The sequence below is a fragment of the Homo sapiens genome, chromosome 4 (genome assembly GCF_000001405.40).
Source record: "Homo sapiens chromosome 4, GRCh38.p14 Primary Assembly".
NCBI classification, from domain to species: Eukaryota; Metazoa; Chordata; class Mammalia; order Primates; family Hominidae; genus Homo; species Homo sapiens.
The window spans coordinates 11,497,001-11,518,819 of record NC_000004.12 but is presented as its reverse complement, the minus strand read 5'-3'; the positions used below and the strand labels follow the sequence as shown (position 1 = coordinate 11,518,819).

Below are 21,819 nucleotides of genomic sequence, written 5' to 3'. Positions count from 1 at the left end.
TATGAGCTAGTAAACTGATCTCCCTTCTTTCTTCTTCCCATTTTACAGAAAATAAACTGAAGCACAGAGAGATGAAGCAATTTGCCTAGGGTCACACAGTCAGTAAGTGACCATGCCAAGAAGTTTAATTTCAGAACCAGAACTCTTAATAGAGATAGTGTATTACACACATACTAAAATTGGCCTCTGTCATTCAAAGGGCCAAGAATGTCAAGTTCTTATAATGCAGGAAATGTCTCTGGTTTTCAGGCCATGAAGATAGTTATATTTATTTTTTATTTTTATTTCAATAGTTCTGGGGTTACAGGTGGTTTTTGGTTGCATGGATAGGCTCTTTAGTAGTGATTTTTGAGATTTCTGTTTACCAGTGACCTGAGCAGTATACACTGTACCCCAACATGTAGGCTTTTATTCCTCACCTGCCTCCCAGTCTTCCCCTCTGAATCCCCAAATTCCATTATATCATTCTTAAGGCCATGCAGATATTAAGTAAATATTTCAGCAAAATATAATGAACACATTATAAATATTATAATGTATAAATGAATACGTTATAAATTATACACATTATAAATATACACATTATAATGTATAAATGAATACATTATACATTATTCTTGCCTAAACTTCCAACTGTTGATTGTTGCATTTGTTTCCTAGGGCTGCCATAACAAAGTACCACAGACTAGGTGGCTTAAACAACAGAAATTTAATTTCTCACCATTCTGGAGAATAGAAGTTTGACCTCAAGGTGTCAACAGGGTTGGTTCCTTCTGGGGGCTGTGAGGGAAAGATCTGTTCTAGGTCTCTCTCCTCAGCTTGCAGATGGCTGCCCCCTCCCTATGCCTACACATCATTCTCTGTCTATACATGGCTGTGTTCAAATTTCCTTTTTTAAAAAAGACACCATTCATATTGAATAAGATCCACCCAAATGACTGCAGTTTATCATGATTACCTCTGTAAAGATTCTACCTCCTCATATAGTCACATTCTGAGATACTGGAGTTAGTACTTCAACATATAAATGTGGAGATATTCTCACACTGCTTTAATAAAATACCTGAGACTGGGTATTTTATAAAGAAAAGAGGTTTAATTGGCTCACAGTTCTGCAGGCTGTATAGGAAGAGTGGCTGGGGAGGCCTCAGAAAACTTACAATCATGGAAGAAGGTGAAGAGGAAGCAAGGCACATCTTACACCGCCGGAGCTGGAGGAAGAGAATGAAGGTGGAGCTGCTACACGCTTTTAAACAACTAGGTATTCTGAGAACTCCCTCACTATCACAAAATAGCAAGGAGAGAATCCACCTGCTTCATCCAATCACCTCCCAGCTGGCCCCACCTCCAACACTGGGGTTTACAATTCAACATGAGATTTGGGTGGGGACACAAATCCAAACCACATCAGGGAGTTAAGCACTTTAGCCTATAACAACTCTTAATTACTTTAACATTTGACTCCGGTGGTCCCAAAAGATGTTCATGCCCTAATCCCTAGAACCTGTGAATGTTACTTTACTTAACAAGAGGTACTTTGCACATGTGGTTGAGGTAAATATACTGAGATGGGAAAATTCTCCTGGATTATCTGAGTGGGCTGAATGTAATCAAAGGGTCCTTATAAGAAAAAAAGGGGAGGCGGGGCACAGTGGCTCAAGCCTGTAATCCCAGCACTTTGGGAGGCTGAGGTGGGTGGATCCACTGATGTCAGGAGTTCAAGACCAGCCTGGCCAACATGGAGAAACCCCATCTCTATTAAAAAAAAAATTATCTGGGTGTGCTGGTGCATGCCTGTAATCTCAGCTACTTGGGAGGCTGAGGGAGGAGAATCACTTGAACCAAGGAGGCAGAGGTTGCAGTGAGCCAAGATCATGCCATTACACTCCATCCTGGGCATCAAGAGCAAAACTCTGTCTCAAAAACAAACAAACAAAAACAAAACAAAATCAAAACCAGGAGCTCATAATTAGAGATTTGAAGATGCTAAACTGCTGATTTTGAATATGGAGGAAGGGGCCATGAACAAAGAGGCAGAGACAGCCATAAGAAGCTGGAACAGGCAAGGAAATGGGTTCTCCTCCTAGAGCAAAATTGTCTAACCCCAGCCCGTGGGCCACATGGAGCCCAGAACAGCTTTGAATGAGGGCCAACACAAATTCATAAGCTTTCCTTTTTTTTTTTTTTTACTTTTTGTTCTTTCTTTCTTTTTCTTTTTCTTTTTTTTTTTTGAGACAGAGTTTCACTCTTGTCACCCAGGCTAGAGTGCAGTGACTCAATCTCTCGCCTCACTGCAATCTACATCCCCAATTCAAGCAATTTTCCTGTCTCAGCCTCCTGAGTAACTGGGATTGAAGGCACCCACCACCACACCCAGCTAATTTTTGTATTTTTAGTAGAGATGACATTTCACCATGTTGACCAGGCTGGTCTCAAACTCCTGACATCAGGTGATCTGCCCACCTCAGCCTCCCAAAGTGCTGAGATTACAGGCATCAGCCACCGCACCTGACCCATACATTTTCTTAAAACATTATAAGAATGTTTCGAATTTTTTTTTTTTTTTTAGTTCATCAGCTATCATTGGTGTTAGTGTATCTTATATGTGGCCCAAAACAATTCTTCTTCTAATGTGGTCCAGGGAAGCCAAAAGATTGGACACTCCTGCTAGTGGTTTCAAAGGTAGCATGGTTGTGCTGAGATCTTGATATCAGCCCATTTCAGCTTCTAACCTCCAGAACTGTAAGAAAACAATAGATGTGTTACTGTAAGCCACTACATTTGCTGTAATTGGTTACAGCAGCCATAGGAAACTCACACACCAACCAAAACCATCAAGACCTACAGCATCCCCCAGGCTTTCTGCAATGCCACACCTGGAGAAGCAAGTGTGCTTCATGTTTGGACAAGTGAAAAAAAATAGCCAGGGTTCCCTATGAGTGACTGTCATTCCTTCTCACAGAAAAGCAAACTGCATGCAGGCAAACCAACAAAGTTAGGAGCTTGTCGGCATCCCAAAAACTCTGGGAAAGAGAGGCCAAAGATGAATGGGGGGCACATGGGAGAGGAGGGCAGGGCAGGGCTGAAAGAAGCTGAAAGAATTTCACCAAAAGCTGAAAGAAGAGGCAGCTGGTCATTTATTAGCAGTTAATCAGGGGAAGAGAAACAGAGAAAGAGACATCATTTCAGTAATATCAAGGAGTTTGCAGTGGTAGAATTTGGGAACAAATAACAATGATAATAATGGCTTATCACTGACCCTCATGTGTGCGTGGCTACGATCTTCATGTGTGTGATACCGAAATATTTGCCATCAAGTTGTCACATGTGATACACAACTAGATTTTCACAATCACACAATGAGGTGGAGTGGAGGGCTGATGAGGCCATGTTCTATGCTAGAGACAAATGAGACAAGTAAGTGTCTTAGGAAGAACACTGACACAGACAAAAGTTTATTGTTCAAAGGTGTAGTTGGTTCTCTAAGGAACCATAGGAAAAGAGTATCTTATTTTTCCCTCAGGGTCGGGGAGATGCCTCATCTCCTGGTGGCTGCTCACATCTTCCTTCTACTCTGATGCCACTTGTTTTTACTCTTTCCACATCCACCAGCCCTGCTCTGAGTTCCACTTCAGGATTCTCTACTGACTGATGCTATGTGTAACCTCCAGAAAGCTAATTACACCCCATATCTCAATTTCCTTGATTGGCTTAAATAGTAGTTAATTGATCAGAGGTTTCTGGAGATTAAAGAAAACTACCCATTAGTCACAAGAAAAAGGCTCTGTGATTAGTCAGACGACAGGAGGCTTTCTAAATGTAAGGCACGCCTAAAGTCGCTGACAGTCTTCCTGTCAGGCGCCGAACCCAGCCTGTTGCCTAGCAGACCCGTCTGAGCCCTGATTTACGCCGACAGCCCTAAGTGGGAAGCAGGTTGAACAGGGAGGTGTCCCTTGTGTGTCATTTAAAGTTCAATATCTCTATTTTCATGACTCGTTATTTCACCACTGAAATTCGGCTCAAGGGAAATCCATCTCTTCTTTCCTAGCTAATCCCTGCATCTCTTTTCTTCTTCTGAAGATCGTCTTGCTTATATTATTTTGGGACTTATCACATTTGCAGTGCACTGTTGAGCACAATGACTACATCATATCATGTTTTTTTTCTCCACGTAAGGTCTCCAGATCCCTTGACATGAAGGGCCACGGCCATGGCAAGAGGATTTATGCGATGTGGTGCAGAGTTTCGCGGGAAAAAAATCCCCTGCAAAGAAGGATTAACCAAAATTTGGCAATCAGGCTTGGTTAGAAACCCAGCATCATAGAAAACCTGAAAGCTTTAGACTAAATAATGTATCTATGCTATGTCTCATTATTTATCTCAATGGAGGAAAATGAACATTGAACTGCGCCTGCCATGTGTCTGGTCTCAGGCTACCAAACTTGCGTGCTGTATTTTATTTAAGTTTACTTAATTGTCCCAACAAGCTGTGGCCTCTCAGTAAGGTCATGACATAAGTATCATTATCCCTGCTTTGTATTTCTGAGAACCATGGCTGAAACAAGTTAAGCCACTCATATCACTGATGAGAAGCATATTTCGAAAGCATTTCTGTCTGAGGCTGAAGTCTGGCCTTTTCTGTGACATCAGTTTGCCTATAAATCATTTTGGGAATCTGATAGAGGAGTTTCCAGGAGCTTCGAAAAAGAGGGTTATTTCCCAGGCCAGGAAGTGAGAGATAAAGATAAGCCATTTTTACCTAAGATTTTAAGTAATTCTCAGAACAACTCTATAACAAAGATATCAATCTCCTTATCTTGAGTAGGAGAAAGCTGAGGTTCAGGGAATTTAGATCCTTTGCAGGTACAAGTGGTAAAAGCTGATGCAAGGATTTTACCATAGCCTAAAACCTGTTTTCTTCACTTTTTAAAAAAGTTTTATATCACACTTTATCCATTGCATAGCCAAAACACCCACCGGTATTTGGTCGCATTATTCCAGCCTATAGAATTCAATGATCCAAACTACTAGATATCCATTCCTTTTTTCCCCCAGACATTCTTTGTCTCCAGCTGCATCGCTGAGAATGTAAATGTCAAGCAAGGAGTTATGGGTCCTGTGACATTGTCACTAATTCAGGCAGCATTACATCCAAATATTATCCTAAGTCAATGATGGCTTACAAATTATTTTTTTCTTTTTTTTCCAGTCCTCTGCCAAATCAAATCCATCTGCTCTACATTCCAATGCATCCAGACACCACCACCTCCAACCACCTCTACCACACCACCATGCTCTAAGACATCACTCTTTCTCTTTTTTATATACAATAATAACTTCTTGCTAATCCCCCTGCATCTGGCCTTTTCTTCTCTGGTTTTTAGTGCCATCTACCTTTCCAATATCTATTTCTCTTAGCTTCTTCCTCAAAAACAGAACCCTAATTTTGTTTGAAGCAATAATGTGTGCATAAGAAAAAAAAAAACTCCCCTGAACTCTAATTCCAAGCCTTCCTTGTTGCTGAGGGTAGATATTTGATACTGTTCTGACCAATGAGACATCAGCTGGAGTCTCTTGCTGTTTTTTTAGGAAAGTTTTGTTTCCCAACCATTGGAATTTTTCTACCTTATTGCTTCCTTCTTTTTTCTGGAATGTGGAATCAATGCCTGGGGCCACAGTTACTGTTTTGCAACCCCAATAACTAGAACCACATGCTAAAGATGGTGGAGCAGAGAGCTAGAAGATCTCGAGTCCTTCATGACTTCATGGAACAGCTGCACAGGTCTTGGACTGCTTATGAAACTCATTTAATTTGCCTTGAGGGTGTTGAGCTAGAAGAAGGAGAGAATAAACAAAAGACCATTCATGGTCTCATGACCTCAGCACTAATCTTCAAGAAAACTTCACATTCAAATAAATTAGTCAAATTCATCTTTTAAACTGCAAGTGATAAGATTTGAATTGGCATGTATATTAATAAATTAGCTACCATAATTCGGTCTATCACTGTAATAGTTTTGCCATCTATCAACTTAGCTGGGTTCAACTACATTTTCCAGATTGTCTATCTTGTGTTTTCCCAGTTAGGATGGGCTACAAGGAAGATTCTGGGAAGATTTTGGAACAGAAGCAGTAACCATTTTGTAGCTCATAGTTTTTGTTACTGATCTGCTGACTCACTTATTGGCATGAAGCAGCAGCTATAGGTCTGCAATTTCTCTGCCTTCTCTTAGATCACTCCTTCAGCTTGTCTAATTCCCAGATCAGGTGTACGTTTAGCTCTGTGATAAATGGTCCCAGCTTTTGCAGGACACCCTTTCCACTACCAAAGTCAGAGGCAACAAGAATGGACGCAGGCTTCAGTAGATTTTTGTGGGGCTCCATTTCATACTTGTGGGGACCGGCAAATTCATGATCTTCCTCTCCAGAATTCCCCCGCTCTGGACTTCAGGCTTCACCAGCAGATGTGGAGACAGCCTTTAGACACTGCTTAACCAGCTTCACAATTATATAAGGCCAGTTCCCTGTAACACGTTCCTTTATTATCTCTATCCATCCATCTATCCTAGAGGTGCTGCTTCTTTGGTAAACTCCGACTGATACAGTCACTATTAGGTTGTAATTAATAATAAATACAGCTAACATGTATGGAGCTACCTATTAAGTGCTAGGCACTTCTCTGACTACTTTACACCCATTTTACCTCAGGACAGCCCCATCAAGTCAGGGACTATCTTTCTCATTTTAATGACAAGAAAATTGAAGCAGAAAGAGGTTAAATAACTTCCCCAAGTCACACAGCTAGCAAGTGGCAGGGCTGGATTCAAACCTGGAAAGATAGACTCTAGAGATCACATGTTAACTACTGGCCAAAATCGAGATCATGTAAACTTCACTGTTAGAGCTCATCTCTCCACTGGGGGTCTTGACTTGGAAAATAGAAAAATAGTTTTTATAAGTGAAGCAGCACATACATGACAGAGGTAAGAAAAAGCAGGCAGTGAGCATGCATTGAACAGTCTCTGTGTTCCAAAAACTTTGCTACCTTTTGCGACAGATGTAGAAGAAATATAACATATTCCCCTCTCTCAAAAATTTACAACCTAATGAAGAAAGCTGATCTGGAACTTCCTGAGATGCTGTGCTTTCAACTGAGGCTAACCCATACCCCAGGCTGACCCACTTCATTACTCTATGGCTGCCCCACAATGTGGCAAAGCTCTCGTCCTCTAACATTGTTTATGCTGAGTTTCTGTGAGCAGATGGGAAGACTTATCTGTTGCCCCATCTCCCCATGTTTATTCTCTCAGTATGCAATTGCTCCATACTCATATCACAGCAAGCATTTCTCCAGGTCGTGAGGGGACACTGTAACACAGAGGCTGAGAGCCTGGTTACTCAGAGAGGGGTCCTGGGACCAGTAGCATACTCATCACCTGGGAGCTCGATAGAAATGCAGAGTATCAGGCTCTATCTCAGACCTGTGGGATCAGAATATGCATGTTAACACTGGTTTAAGCACTGGCTTAAAGTAAAGGCTTGAAGTCAAACTAAGTTAAACTAATAACTTGGCTTTTTACTTGCCAAATGATCTTGGGAATGAATTTGCCTTTATAAACCTCAGTTTACTGTCTAAAAATGAAGATAATAATAACACCTGCCTCATAAGTCTGTTTTGAAAATTAAATACATTGCACAGTACCTAACATAGGGGTAACTGTCAATTAATATTAGCTAATGTATCATTATTGTTATTATTAGCATATGACCCCTGCTTTATGAGAGACTATACCTATAGTCTAGAAAAGGGAAACGTGGGCTAATAAGTATATAGATTTACTACAAATACCATAAGACCTTTTGTTCCAGGTATTTGTGCCAGAGGTCCATAGCTTTTTACCTATGAGACATCACCCAAACATTAAAACCATGGTTCCTATTTGCTCAAAGGACGCACAGAAACATTATCTGTTGGCTGCATAATGAATACATGTAGAGAGATTTTTCTATTTTCATAAACAGTATTTTGCTTTTGTTTTTGTTTTCCCAATTTTCTATTTGAAAGCCTTACTTCTGGCACCCACAATGCACCCACAAGTATCTGAAGCTCAGAAATCTCCAAATCGAGGATCTAAGAAGTAGATCTCAGGTCAGAGAAGGACCCACAATTTGTAGGAATATCAGTCAAAATGGAAACAGGCCAGAAACAGAATATCTAGACATGCTGAATTGAAGTAGCTGAGAGGAATAGGAATGAGATGGTTTATGTCAAACCAGCTACCAAGGACAAATAAGACAAACATCAGATTTCACAAGGATCAGTTGGGGAAAAAAAATCTGTGAAAGAATATGTCGCCTACATTGTTTTCCTTTTAAATCACCTTTTCTTTTTAACTTTTTCATGGTGTCTCTTCTCCCCCAACAGATCTCTAAAGTTTTGTGTTCCTTGGATTCTATCTCCAAACCCCTTATCCACTCTCCCTTAATTCTTTTCTTAGGTGATTTTATGCAGTTTCCTCTGTTTAAATACCAGCAATACAGTAAGACTCTCAAATTTGCATTTCTAGCTCTGATGACTCCCCTGAGTCCCAGGCTCAACTTCCCATTCAGCATTTTCACTTAGAAATCAAATGGGATCCAAAACTTAGTTTGGTCTAAAACGGACCACTTGTTTACCCATGCCACCCCTGTCCCCACCAAAATCCACCATCAACCCAGTTATCAAGGCCCCAAACTAGGAGGAATCCTTGATTTGTTTTTTCTTTTCCTTCACCCTAGTTCTGTGCATCAGCAAGTTGTATGAGCTCTTCTTCCAAAAAGCATCCCAAATCTGGTCTTTTGCTATTATCTTTGCCACTGAAATCCTAATCCGGGTCAGCATAGTCCATCCCCCAGATCAAGTGCCATTATCTTGATGATGGTCCTCATCTCCACCCACGTGTCTTACAGGCAGCTCTGCACACGGATGCCTGAGTGAGCCTTATAATCAGACGGTGTAAGCTTCCCTGCGTAAAACCATGCCCTAGGCTTTTACTATGCCCTACAAGGCCCTTCATGAAGTGGCCCCTGCTTCTGTCATGAATTTCATCTCAGGCCACTCTCTTTCTCATCCCAAGCTCCAACCACCCTGACCCTCTTGCAGCCCTTGGAATGGTATACTAAGTGCACTCATTTCAGGACCTTTGTATCTGCTGTTCCTTCTATTTGAAGTGCCTTCTGTAAACCTTCGCATGACTGCCTTCTTCTTGTTACTTAGTCAACACAAATGTCATCTCATTTATGTTGAGATGACATTTGTGTTGAGCTTAAATGAGATGACATTTCTGTGGAGCTTTTCATCCCCAGCAACTCCCTCAGGCACTGTTTAACTTATGGATCAATTTAATCTTTTTCATAACACTTTTTAAAAATTAACATTAGCTTTGTAATGTATTTTTGGTTGAATATCTACTTGTTTCTTTCTCTAGAAGGTAAGCTCTTTGAGGGCAAAGATTATGTCTCTCTTGTCTGCATCAGTACCTAGAGCATTGTCTTGCATGTGATAGGCACTTACCATATACGTGTTGACCAATTGATCTTGTTTTGAATGTGCAGGTTCAGCCTACTATATTTATGCTGTCTTATATCTGAAATCAGCTGACCTATGTGGTTAGCTTAAGAGCTAATGCTCAATGCTAATTAGGAAGCAGTGTGGTTTCTTGGACAACAGCTAAATATTTTTATGAAAAAAATGAAATATGAAGACAAAGCTTCTCATGCGCATGCCTTAGTTGTTCATTTCTTTAGAACATAAAATTTGTTTGTACACACAAAAAAGATGTTGTATCCAAAAATTATTCCAAAAAAACATTGTTTTGTGTTCATGAAAAGAAAGAAACTGTGTTTCACCTTGTTAAGCGTTCGAGAATTTTCTGTGTTCAGTGACACTGGTAAGGCTGGAGAGTTGAAATGAAAATTTCTCTTGGGATAAAAATAGTGAACTGAAAAGTAGTAAATCAAACACTCTTCATTTGCATGTCTCAGGGGCCATGTATAGAAACTAGCATCTGATACAATCTACAGTGTACAAACCTGGGAGTGTAAGCTGCATGAAGGCAAGGGCATCATCTATTATTCATTATCATTTTATTCCCTAGCTATAACTCAGGGCTTAGGATGTAGTAATCACTTATTAAAACTTTGTTGAAAAAGTAAAGGGGAATTATGTTATAAATGGCATTTTGATGTTGCTATTATGGAATCTTTTATTTTAGAAGCATCTCCAATATACTAAGTACTGCACTAGTGGCTTGTAATAAAGAATGCATCAGAAGAGCAGCACTTTATGGTGGACAGAAAACTGCAAGGAGTGTCTGTAGGTCTTGACCCTTATATGAGATCTGTCTCAGCGTAACCTCGAGCAAGTCTCATAACCTCTCAAAGCCTCCACTCTTCAAATAAACAGAGAACCCAGTGCTGCATAACTATAGCAGCTACATTTCTTCCTGGCATGAGCTATGAGTCTGACACTCTACAGGGTTTTCCACATGGGCAGTTTAATTTAATCCTCAAAGCAAAGTACGAGTTATATTTTTATTATTAATATCACCTTGAGCAGGCTATGGCATTTGTCCACCGTCACAAGTCCAAGGACTCTGAACTTGAACTCAGGTCTTCCTGACTACCAAGCCAATGCTTTTGGATCTCCATCTCATGCTTCTCTACTTAGGTTGGCCATCTGCCCAGGTTTGCTTGGGACAGTGCCAGCCCTGGCTGGTCACCATTTGATATAGTTTGAATATATGTCCCTGCCAAATCTCATGTTGAATTGTAATCCCCAGTTTTGGAAGTGGGGCCTGGTGGGAGGCGTTTGGATCATGGGGACAGATCCCCCATGGCTTGGTGGTGTCCTTTTGATAGTGAGTGAGTTCTTGTGAGACCTGGTTGTTTAAGCGTGTGGCACCTCCCCTCCCTCCCCACTCTCTCTCTTTCTCCTGCTTTCAACATGTGATGTGCCTCCTCCCTCTTCAACCTTCAGCCATGAGTAGGAAAAGCTCCCTGAGGACTCCCCAGAAGCCGAGGAGATGCTGGTGCCATGCTTGTACAGCCTGCAGAACCATAAGCCCATCAAACCTCTTTGCTTTATGAATGACCAAGCCTCAAGTATTCCTTTATAGCATTGTGAGAATGGCCTAATACAGTTTTCCTAGTGATCTTTTCACTTTGCGACTTGTGAACTCTCCACTAGAGGCGGCCCTCTCCACTAGAGGCGGCCATCAAATAGGTTCTGTTCCCCTTCCATCTTTACTTTATTCTAGAAAGAGTACAGAATCAGGTGACCACAAGGAAGCTGAAGGGGGGCATGATCACTGCACTTTATTAAATGGATCTGGGTGATATGGTTTCTTATGGAGAGTCAGGTGGCCTTGAAATGAACACATCCAAATTTATTTGCCAAACTGAGAATGAAAGAGCTAAAGGGGTAATAACGATGATGATGTTAATAATATTAATAATATGATAATGATTATAATAAAAACAACAGCAGTAAACACAACAATCATTGGAATTAGTATAGTTTTTTAGCCTCAATTATGTAAACAATTAAGTGTTCATTCATCAGCAAATCCTTAATGCACAGTTACTGTTCACCAGAGAAACTGAGCAGCTTTGTGTACCATTCTTTTCTGTGAATATCCTAATCTCTGAACCACTTTCTTCCCTCTTACCTGTAAAATGGGAATAATAACCTCCACCTCATTGAGAGTGATGGGGCTACTATTCAAAGAAAAAAAAATTATTGAAGGAACCATCCCCTAGCTAAGTAAATGTTTGCCTCTGACTCCTTTAATTCAAGTACCATGGCATAGTTATTCATAAAAGTCAGTATGTTTATGCATTCTTTCACTCAACAAATATTTATAATATGCATAATATATGTCAAGTACAGAATACAGGCAAAATACATAGTTAATGTAATACAACAAAAAAAGGCAGTGAAAACAAATTTACAAAGGTGAGAGGATGAATAGCTATGGAGGGGATTGTGTGACTTTAAGCAGGATGATCAGGGAAGTCTTTCTTCTGGGGTTGACATTGGAGCAAATAGGTGAAGCTGGTGAAAGCACGGACTATGCAGGTGCACAGACAGAGTTTCACATGGGGAGAGGAGTGTGTGTGCATGGGCTGCGGTGGGAGTGGGGACCAAGAAACAGCAGGAGGACCGGTGTTGCTAGAGCTGGTGAAGCAGAAGGAAGGGAGCAAGAGAAGTCAGAGGCAGAGTCATCAGTGATGTGGACCATGGCAAGAGGCTGGTGATTTACTGGGATCCTATTTCCAGTGTGATGGAAACTGTTGACATGTTCCATTGAAGGTCGGTTAATAAAGATCGATCATTAAGTCAGAGCTAGTGTTTCAGTGAATACCGCATGCTAAGACAGCATGAATATACACCTTGTGCCAAAAGTTACTTGCTGAAGCAAACCAGACTAGCCATGACCAGGTTGAGAGACCATGACAGCACAGTGGAAGACTCCACATCCAAGGGAGTACCTTCGAAATGGTACTCCCTTGTGTACCATTGTGAGGGAGTACCTCACAATGTGGCAGATAGGAGGCCCTAGCTTGCAGACCTATCCAAGATCCATGATGGGACATGAGGAATTATGTGATCAGTGCCAATGAATCCTGTGGAGATTTCTTTCCAGCCAATTGCCTTGAATGACAGGATCTCAAACTCAATTGAATGCTCTGGGCCAGGCTAGGGTTTCATAGACACAATTTCATTCAAATCTCACAATAGCCCCATGGGGTGGAATTTCCATTTCACACTTTGCCTGTGAGGAGTCTGAGATGGGAGATGGTAAGTGATTTGCCAAGTTCACAGCTAGAAAGCATTGCTTCCCAGACATGGAAGCCCACCTTCTCCCTACACAGCCCCTGCGTATTTGTGAGCCTGTAGACACTTCCTCTTTGTCCCTTTCATCTTGCAGCAATAAAACCTGCCAAAGGATGACTTAATGCCAATAATAACCACCTCCCCACTGCAGGGGCCTCTGCAGTTTACCTAGCTCCTTCATACTCATTTTCTTATGCCCTCTGTGAGCCAGTTCACACCCTCCCTGCCTTTTATTTTCACAGGCATGGCAGGTACAGGATGTGATAAATACTCTGAACAAGGAAACATTTAGCCTAAGCCAACTATTATCGGCAGCATCTATGACGAATGACTTAATATAACCCTGAAAAGCACAATGTGATGACTAATTTGTGGTTAAAGGTAGTTGGAAATTTACTTTGTAAAAAATTACATGGAAGTAACCTGATTAACTTTGAAAGAGAGAGCAAAAAAAAAAAAGGGGGGGGGCAACAAAATACACAAATAATGATTTACTCCTCCTTGCAGAGGTAGCAATAAAGATAAGAATTACAACCCCAAGACCAAGAGACGGAATGAACATGTTTCATTTTGCATACTGGATGAAGAACATGGATCAGAGCAGGAAATGTTTAAGTAAGAAAGCTCTGGGGCTCCATGGACTCAAGCAGACCGTTTGTTTTAGATGGGAAAGGAATCTTTGGCTATCTAGTCTCTTCAGTTACCTGATGAAGAAACTGAGGCATACACACAGGATCTTATTTGGAGTCCATTGAGTCAAGGCCTTCTCCTTGGCAGGGAGGAAAACGCAGCATGTTTCTAGAGAAGGATGCAAACTCTGAGGTCCTGATGGCCTGAGCTTGCTGGCTTCGTCTGGGCGACTTGGGACAAATCACCTAACCTCTTTGAGACTGAAATGTTTTATATGAAGACCATGAATGACAATACAAACTTCCTAGTGTTGTAAGAGTTAAGCAGCTTATTGCACCTAAAATACCCAGCAAAATACCTGGCATACAGTAGGTTCACCAAAGAATGTTCATTCCTTTCTTCCTCTGCCTAGTTACTGTCTTTCCCCATGGAAGTCATGAAAGCTGTATCAAGCCTTTCTTAGTTCTCTAACTCCACACCCCTCACAAAAAAAAAAAAAGAAAAAAAATTGACATTAACCTCATTTTTCATTTCCTAGACTGCTGTAGCAAACTATCACAAACTTGGGGGCTTAAAACAGTGGAAATGTTTTGTCTCACAGTTCTGGACGCCAGAAGTTTGAAATCAAGGTGTCATTAGGGTTGGTTTCTTCTGGAAGCTCCAAGGGAGAATCTGTTCGATGCCTCACTCCTAGCTTCTGGTGGCTGTGGGCAATCTTGGCATTCTCTGGCTTGTCAATGCATCACTACAACCTCCACCTCCCTCACGTGAACTTCTCCTCTGTGTCTGTATGTCTATGTCTCAAATCCCCTCTCCTTTCTTTTGTAAGGATACCAGCTACTGGATTTACAGCGTATCCTAAATCCAGGAAATCTAAATCCTGAGCTTTCTAAATTAATCCCATCTACAAAAACACTATTTCCTTTCTTTTTTTCTCCCTCTTCTTCTTATTTTTCTTTTTCAGATGGAGTCTCACACTCTGATGCCCAGGCTAGACTGCAGTGGCACAATCTTGGCTCACTCCAACCTCCACCTCCCAGGTTCAAGCAATTCTTCTGCCTCAGCCTCCCAAGTAGCTGGGACTACAAGTGGGCACCACCATGCCTGGCTCATTTCTGTATTTTTAGTAGAGACAGGGTTTCACCATATTGGCCAGGCTGGTCTCGAACTCCTGACCTTGTCATCTGCCCACCTCTGCCTCCCAAGGTACTAGGATTACAGGCGTGAGCCACCACATCCGGCCCCAAAACACTATTTCTTTTTTTTTTAATTTTATTTTTTTATTATTTTATTTATTTTATTTTATTTATTATACTTTAAGTTCTAGGGTACATGTGCACAACGTGCAGGTTTGTTACATATGTATACATGTGCCATGTTGGTGTGCTACACCCATTAACTCGTCATTTACATTAGGTATATCTTCTACTGCAATCCCTCCCCCCTCCCCCACCCCACAACAGGCCCCGGTGTGTGATGTTCCCCTTGCTGTGTCCAAGTGTTCTCATTGTTCAATTCCCACCTATGAGTGAGAACATGCCAAAACACTATTTCTAAGTAAGTTCACATTTACAGGTACCAGGGGTTAGGACTTAGACAGATCTTTTGGGGGAAGGGACACAATACAACCTACTAAAGAGAGCAAACAACTTGTGTCTCTTGGGGACCCTCTGATTTCTCATACCTAGTACAGTGCTTGTAACCTAACAAGTTTTCATTAAATGCATGTGGAAAACATGAACACTGTCACTTTAAGACTTCCCGTCTGTGATCCTACATTCCTGCCAGATGGCCCCTCTAACCCTGAGAGCCTCAGCTTTCCCAACCGCCTGAGCATCCCACTGTCTGTACCATCACTGAAGCTCCACAGGAAGCCAGGCCCCTGGAAGGCACAGCTCAGCAGGACTGTGTGACTGTCCCCTGACAAGCTGCATGGCAAGGTGCCTACATGCTGTTCAGAAAAGCAGAGCAGGCCTTGTTTCTGCTGAGCTCCATGGAGACAAATGTCAGTGACATTGCTGCCTGCTTTGGTGACCTTCCTTACCACAGGGACATTGGACATAGTACATTTGTGTTTACAAACGCCTCTGCCTCTCTACACCCTAACTTTGCTTATGAGTGTTCCTACTATCCTGAATTTTTTTTCCTCCCCTTCCTATGGCATTTTTATCCCAACTATCAAATTTATCCCACTTTAAATATCTTCCTTAGCAATAACTTCCCAAATAGCCCAATCTACTTTCTACCTGAATATATACTTTCATAAAGTTCATATTTATTCTTTAAAAGATTTAACACAATAGTAAATAATGATGAGTTTAATTACTTGTATAATGCCCTGCTTCCTGAACTATCTTTAAGTTACATGAGAGCAGATCTTTGTCCATTGTATAAATAGAATGCATCTCCAATGCCTGGAGCTAGAAGGTGCGGAACATGTGGAAGCGACCACTTGAATCTGCTTGCCACACTTTTTGTCTTAGCCTTTAGTCCTCTCATTCACACTTCAACTTTCCAATTCCCCCTTCACTCACTGTAAAGTGTATTCATGATCTATATTATCGTACACAACAAGCTTGGTTTCCCAATATCCAGTTCATCATCAAGTCCTATTCATGGAGCTATCAAATACCCATTGGCTTCATCCTTCCACACTGGTAGGTGGATTCCTACCTGTATTTGTTTGGTACAGCTGCCATAACAAAGATAAGTGGCTTTAACAACATAACTTGGCCCTAACAAAGATGGTGCCTTTAACAACATAACTTGTTTTCTGGAGGCTAGAAGTCTGAGGTCAAGGTGTAGGCAGGTTTGCTTTCTTCTGAGGCCCTTCTCCTTGGCTTCTAGATAGATGTATTATCTCTGTGTCTTTATAATGTCTTCCATCTGTGTATATCCATGTCCTAATCTGATCTTCTCACAAGGAAATCAGCCATATTAGATTAGGGAGCATGCTAATGACCTCATTTTAACTTAATTACCTCTTTAGAGGCACGATCTCCAAATACAGTCACATTCTGTAGTACTACAGGCTAGGACTCAAGATACAAATCTGGGTGGGTGACAAATTCATCCCGTTAGATTTCAGTTCAAACAGTACTTCCTTGGAGAGGTTTGCACTGATATTTCAAATGAAGTCAGACTTCCTCATTACAGCCTCTTATAGCAGCCTGCACTGTAAATTCATGGCATTTACCATAGTAGTAATTTCATATGTGTGTTTGCAAATATTCTATTTATGTGTAGCTCTCTACTAGATTATAAACTCCATGAGGGCAGTGGATGTGTCTGGTTTTTCTTGCCATTAATAGGTCCAATGCCCAACATTAGCACTTCTTACCATTCACTCTTTATTATCATCTTCCTTTTAATTTCTAGGATACCATGGGTCCTTTTTTCTCTTTCTATGCCTCAAGATTGTTCAAGATTCTTCACTTTCCTCCTGCTTTTGACCTACCTCTTGGATATTGTTTCTTTGAGATTCTGTCTTGATCACTTTCTCTTCTTGCTCAATGAGCTCTATCTGGGAAATTGTCAACACTCTCAAGGCTTTAGTAAATATCATGTTCTCTCAATGACTTCCAAATTTCTGTATGTAGTGTGGTTCTGCCTTCATTGATTCATTCCTGTATTCCCTACTACCTACAGATTATTTTAACTTTACCCATTCCTCAAAAACATGTTCAACAAAGCAATTACATTTACCTTTAAATCTACTCTACCTCTATTTGTTGGCTTAGTGAATGGCATCAGTGTACACGCAGTGGCTCCAATAATAATATATAGTATAGGAACCCATTACCAATGTAACAGATAAAAATATAAAGAGTATCCAATCCAGCTTCTCTCTCACATCTCAAACCCAACCATGTTGACTCCTGTGTACTCCTTGGTTCATTTCTTAAATCAGATGCTTACTATTTCTCCATAGACACAAGAATATTTAACTAAGCCTAGCAGAGACACAACAAAAAAAGAGAATTTTAGACCAATATCCCTGATGAACATCGATGCAAACATCCTCAGTAAAATATTGGCAAACTGAATCCAGCAGCACATCAAAAAGCTTATCCACCATGATCAAGTGAGCTTCATCCCTGGGATGCAAGGCTGGTTCAACATATGCAAATCAATAAATGTAATCCAGCATATAAACAGAACCAAAGACAAAAACCACATGATTATCTCAATAGACGCAGAAAAGGCCTTTGACAAAATTCAACAACCTTCATGCTAAAAACTCTCAATAAATTAGGTATTGATGGGACATATCTCAAAATAATAAGAGCTATTTATGACAAACCCACAGCCAATATCATACTGAATGGGCAAAAACTGGAAAAAGTCCCTTTGAAAACTGGCACAGGACAGGGATCCCCTCTCTCACCACTCCTATTCAACATAGTGTTGAAAGTTCTGGCCAGGGCAATCAGGCAGGAGAAAGAAATAAAGGGTATTAAATTAGGAAAAGAGGAAGTCAAATTGTCCCTGTTTGCAGATGACATGATTGTATATCTAGAAAACCCCATCGACTCAGCCGAAAATCTCCTTAAGCTGATAAGCAACTTCAGCAAAGTCTCAGGATACAAAATCAATGTGCAAAAATCACAAGCATTCTTATACACCAATAACAGACAAACAGAGAGCCAAATCATGAGTGAACTCCCATTCACAATTGCTTCAAAGAGAATAAAATACCTAGGAATCCAACTTACAAGGGATGTGAAGGACCTCTTCAAGGAGAACTACAAACCACTGCTCAAGGAAATAAAAGAGGATACAAAGAAATGGAAGAACATTCCATGCTAATGGATAGGAAGAATCAGTATCATGAAAATGGCCATACTGCCCAAGGCAATTTATAGGTTCAATGCTATCCCCATCAAGCTACCAATGGCTTTCTTCATAGAATTGGAAAAATCTACTTTAAAGTTCATGTGGAACCAAAAAAGAGCCTGCATCGCCAAGTCAATCCTAAGCCAAAAGAACAAAGCCGGAGGCATCATGCTACCTGACTTCAAACTATACTACAAGGCTACAGTAACCAAAACAGCATGGTACTGGTACCAAAACAGAGATATAGACCAATGGAACAGAACAGAGCCCTCAGAAATAATACCACATATCTACAACTATCTGATCTTTGACAAACCTGACAAAAACAAGAAATGGGGAAAGGATTCCCTATTTAATAAATGGTGCTGGGAAAATTGGCTAGCCATATGTAGAAAGCTGAAACTGGATCCCTTCCTTATACCTTATACAAAAATTAATTCAAAATGGATTAAAGACTTAAATATTAGACCTAAAACCATAAAAACCCTAGAAGAAAACCTAGGCAGTACCATTCAGACATAGGCATGGGCAAGGACTTCATGTCTAAAACACCAAAAGCAAAGGCAACAAAAGCCAAAATTGACAAATGGGATCTAATTAAACTAAAGAGCTTCTGCACAGGAAAAGAAACTACCATCAGAGTGAACAGGCAACCTACAGAATGGGAGAAAATTTTTGCAATCTACTTATCTGACAAATGGCTAATACCCAGAATCTAAAAGAACTCAAACAAATTTACAAGAAAAAAACCATCAACCCCATCAAAAAGTGGGCAAAGGATATGAAGAGACACTTCTCAAAAGAAGACATTTATGCAGCCAACAGACACATGAAAAAATGCTCATCATCACTGGCCATCAGAGAAATGCAGATCAAAACCACAGTGAGATAGCATCTCACACCAGTAAGAATGGCAATCATTAAAAAGTCAGGAAACAACAGGTGCTGGAGAGGGTGTGGAGAAATAGGAACACTTTTACACTGTTGGTGGGACTGTAAACTAGTTCAACCCTTGTGGAAGAAAGCGTGGGGATTCCTCAGGGATCTAGAACTAGAAATACCATTTGACCCAGCCATCCCATTACTGGGTATATACCCAAAGGATTATAAATCATGCTGCTATAAAGACACATGCACGTGTATGTTTATTGCGGCACTATTCACAATAGCAAAGACTTGGAACCAACCCAAATGTCCAACAATGATAGACTAGATTAAGAAAATGTGGCACATATACACCATGGAATACTATGCAGCCATAAAAATGATGAGTTCATGTCCTTTGTAGGGACATGGATGAAGCTGGAAACCATCATTTTCAGCAAATTATCACAAGGACAAAAAACCAAACACTGCATGTTCTCACTTATAGGTGGGAATTGAACAATGAGAACACTTGGACACAAGAAGGGAAACATCACACACCGGGGCCTGTTGTGGGGTGGGGGAAGGGGGGAGGGGTAGCATTAGGAGATATACCTAATGTAAATGATGAGTTAATGGGTGCAGCACACCAACATGGCACATGTATACATATGTAACAAACCTGCAGGTTGTGCATATGTACCCTAGAACTTAAAGTATAATAAAAAAAGATATATATATAGATAGATATAGATATATCTATCTATATATATCTATATCTATCTATCTATCTATCTATCTATCTATAATCCAAATCACTCTTCTGCCTAAAACCTTCTCCTGGGACCCCACCCCAAGAGGATACACATCTGTCTGTTTAGCCTAACTCACAGAACCCTACGTGAGCCAAAACACATATCTCTTTACACTGATTTCTTACTAACCTTTCCTATTTTTCTGCATATCCTGTTGTTTGTCTAGGCCTAATTTCTCATCTGCCTTTGAAAACGACAGACTTCTCCGTGTTCCTGTATATACATCTCAGGCCCCACTTTAGAAATGTGGATTTGCGGAGGAAGCCATTAGCTGTCACTCTTCTTGAGAATAGTCTCAGCTGCAGAAAACTGCCTTACCCAAGGTGACACCTCCTTCCACTGACAGCCTGCATTCTCTGCTGGTCAACAATTCTAATGGGCCTTTTCAGCTCCAGAGCTCCCTTTAATGTTGGCTAAAGACTTTTATTGGGCTGCATTGCTGCTCACTTTCTCCCTCTGCATATTCCTACTTCTCTACCTCCCTCCACAGGTGTGGATCCCAAGGGAACTCCTGGATAAAACTTCTGCTCTCTTAATCTCCATCTCAAAGTCAGCTTCCTCGGGAACAAATATGTGACACTGGATATTTGCAGATGTGCCCTCTGCTTGAATAGCACTTCTGTTCTGTCTTTCCCTGCCCAAATTCTTTGCATTCATCACATCCCAAGTCATATGTCACGTAGGTACTGCTGACAAAGTGAGTCACATTCTATTCTCTCCCACTACGGCACATTTCACTTTTCCCTGATTCCAACACATATTACACTACATTATAATTATTACTCAGATATTTTCATTTTCTTCTCTAGTAATTTTATACTCTTGAAGAATGCGGTATTAGTTATCCATTGCTGTGTAAAGAATTGCCACAATCTTATTGGCTTAATACAAATAACACTATTTAATATTCTTTCACAGCTCTGTATGTCAGATATTTAGGTGAGCTTAACTAGCCTTTTTGCTTAGGGTCTCCAAAGACTGAAATCAAGATGTCAGCCAGCCTAGCTCTTCACTAGAGGCTTTGGGGAGAATCCACTTCCAACTCATGTAAGTTGTTGGCATAATCTAGTTCCTTTTGGTTGTAGGACTGATTTCCCTGTTTCCCCACGGCTGTCAGTAGAGGTCAGCCTTGGCTCCTAGAAGCTGTCCACTCTACTTCTCACATGGCTTCCTCCAGCTTCAAAGCAAACAATAGTGCATCTGCTGCTTCTTGTGCTTTGAAACTCTCTGGCTCCCATTTTTGTCTTCTTTTTCTTCACCAGTCAGAGAAAATTCTTTGCTTTTTAGGTCTCATGTGATTGGATCAGGTCCAGATCAGGCCCACTAAGATATTATCTATTTTATAATGTCAACTGTGTCATACAACACCATCATGGGTGTGGTATTTCACATTCACAGTCATCACTTCTAGGAAGTAGAGCATGGATTCCTGGTGGAAGTTCCTATGACCACCTACTGCAGATGTAAAGAGCATCTTATTCATAGAATATGTTCCTCAGTGCTCAGCAGAGATTCTTATATAAAAAATATTGATGCTTCTGTCAACTCCTAGGTTTAACTGACTTCAGTTTCCATGAGTATGACACTATTAACTCTCTGGTCTTAGTTGCATGCACAGCCAAAAAGCAAAACAAAACAAAGCAAATAAGCCATAACAAAAAGCACCTCAAATTGCATATAAGGAAATAAAAAAACAGTAAGGAAGTAGAAACTAGACTGAAGGGCTCTTGTGATGAGCATTGACTCACAGGAGAAAAGATAAAAAATAAAAGAGAATTGTCATGAAAAGAAAGAAAA

General features: G+C 40.7%; 1 annotated feature.

Moving 5' to 3' along the window:
* Positions 12,697–13,896: an enhancer, noted in NCBI's record as "CDK7 strongly-dependent group 2 enhancer chr4:11506548-11507747 (GRCh37/hg19 assembly coordinates)". NCBI's record gives its function as "activates an origin of replication core promoter dependent on BRD2, BRD4, P300/CBP, MED14 and CDK7 cofactors, with strong dependence on CDK7, by STARR-seq in HCT116 cells {active_cell/tissue: HCT116}" and the evidence as "EXISTENCE:reporter gene assay evidence [ECO:0000049][PMID:35650434]".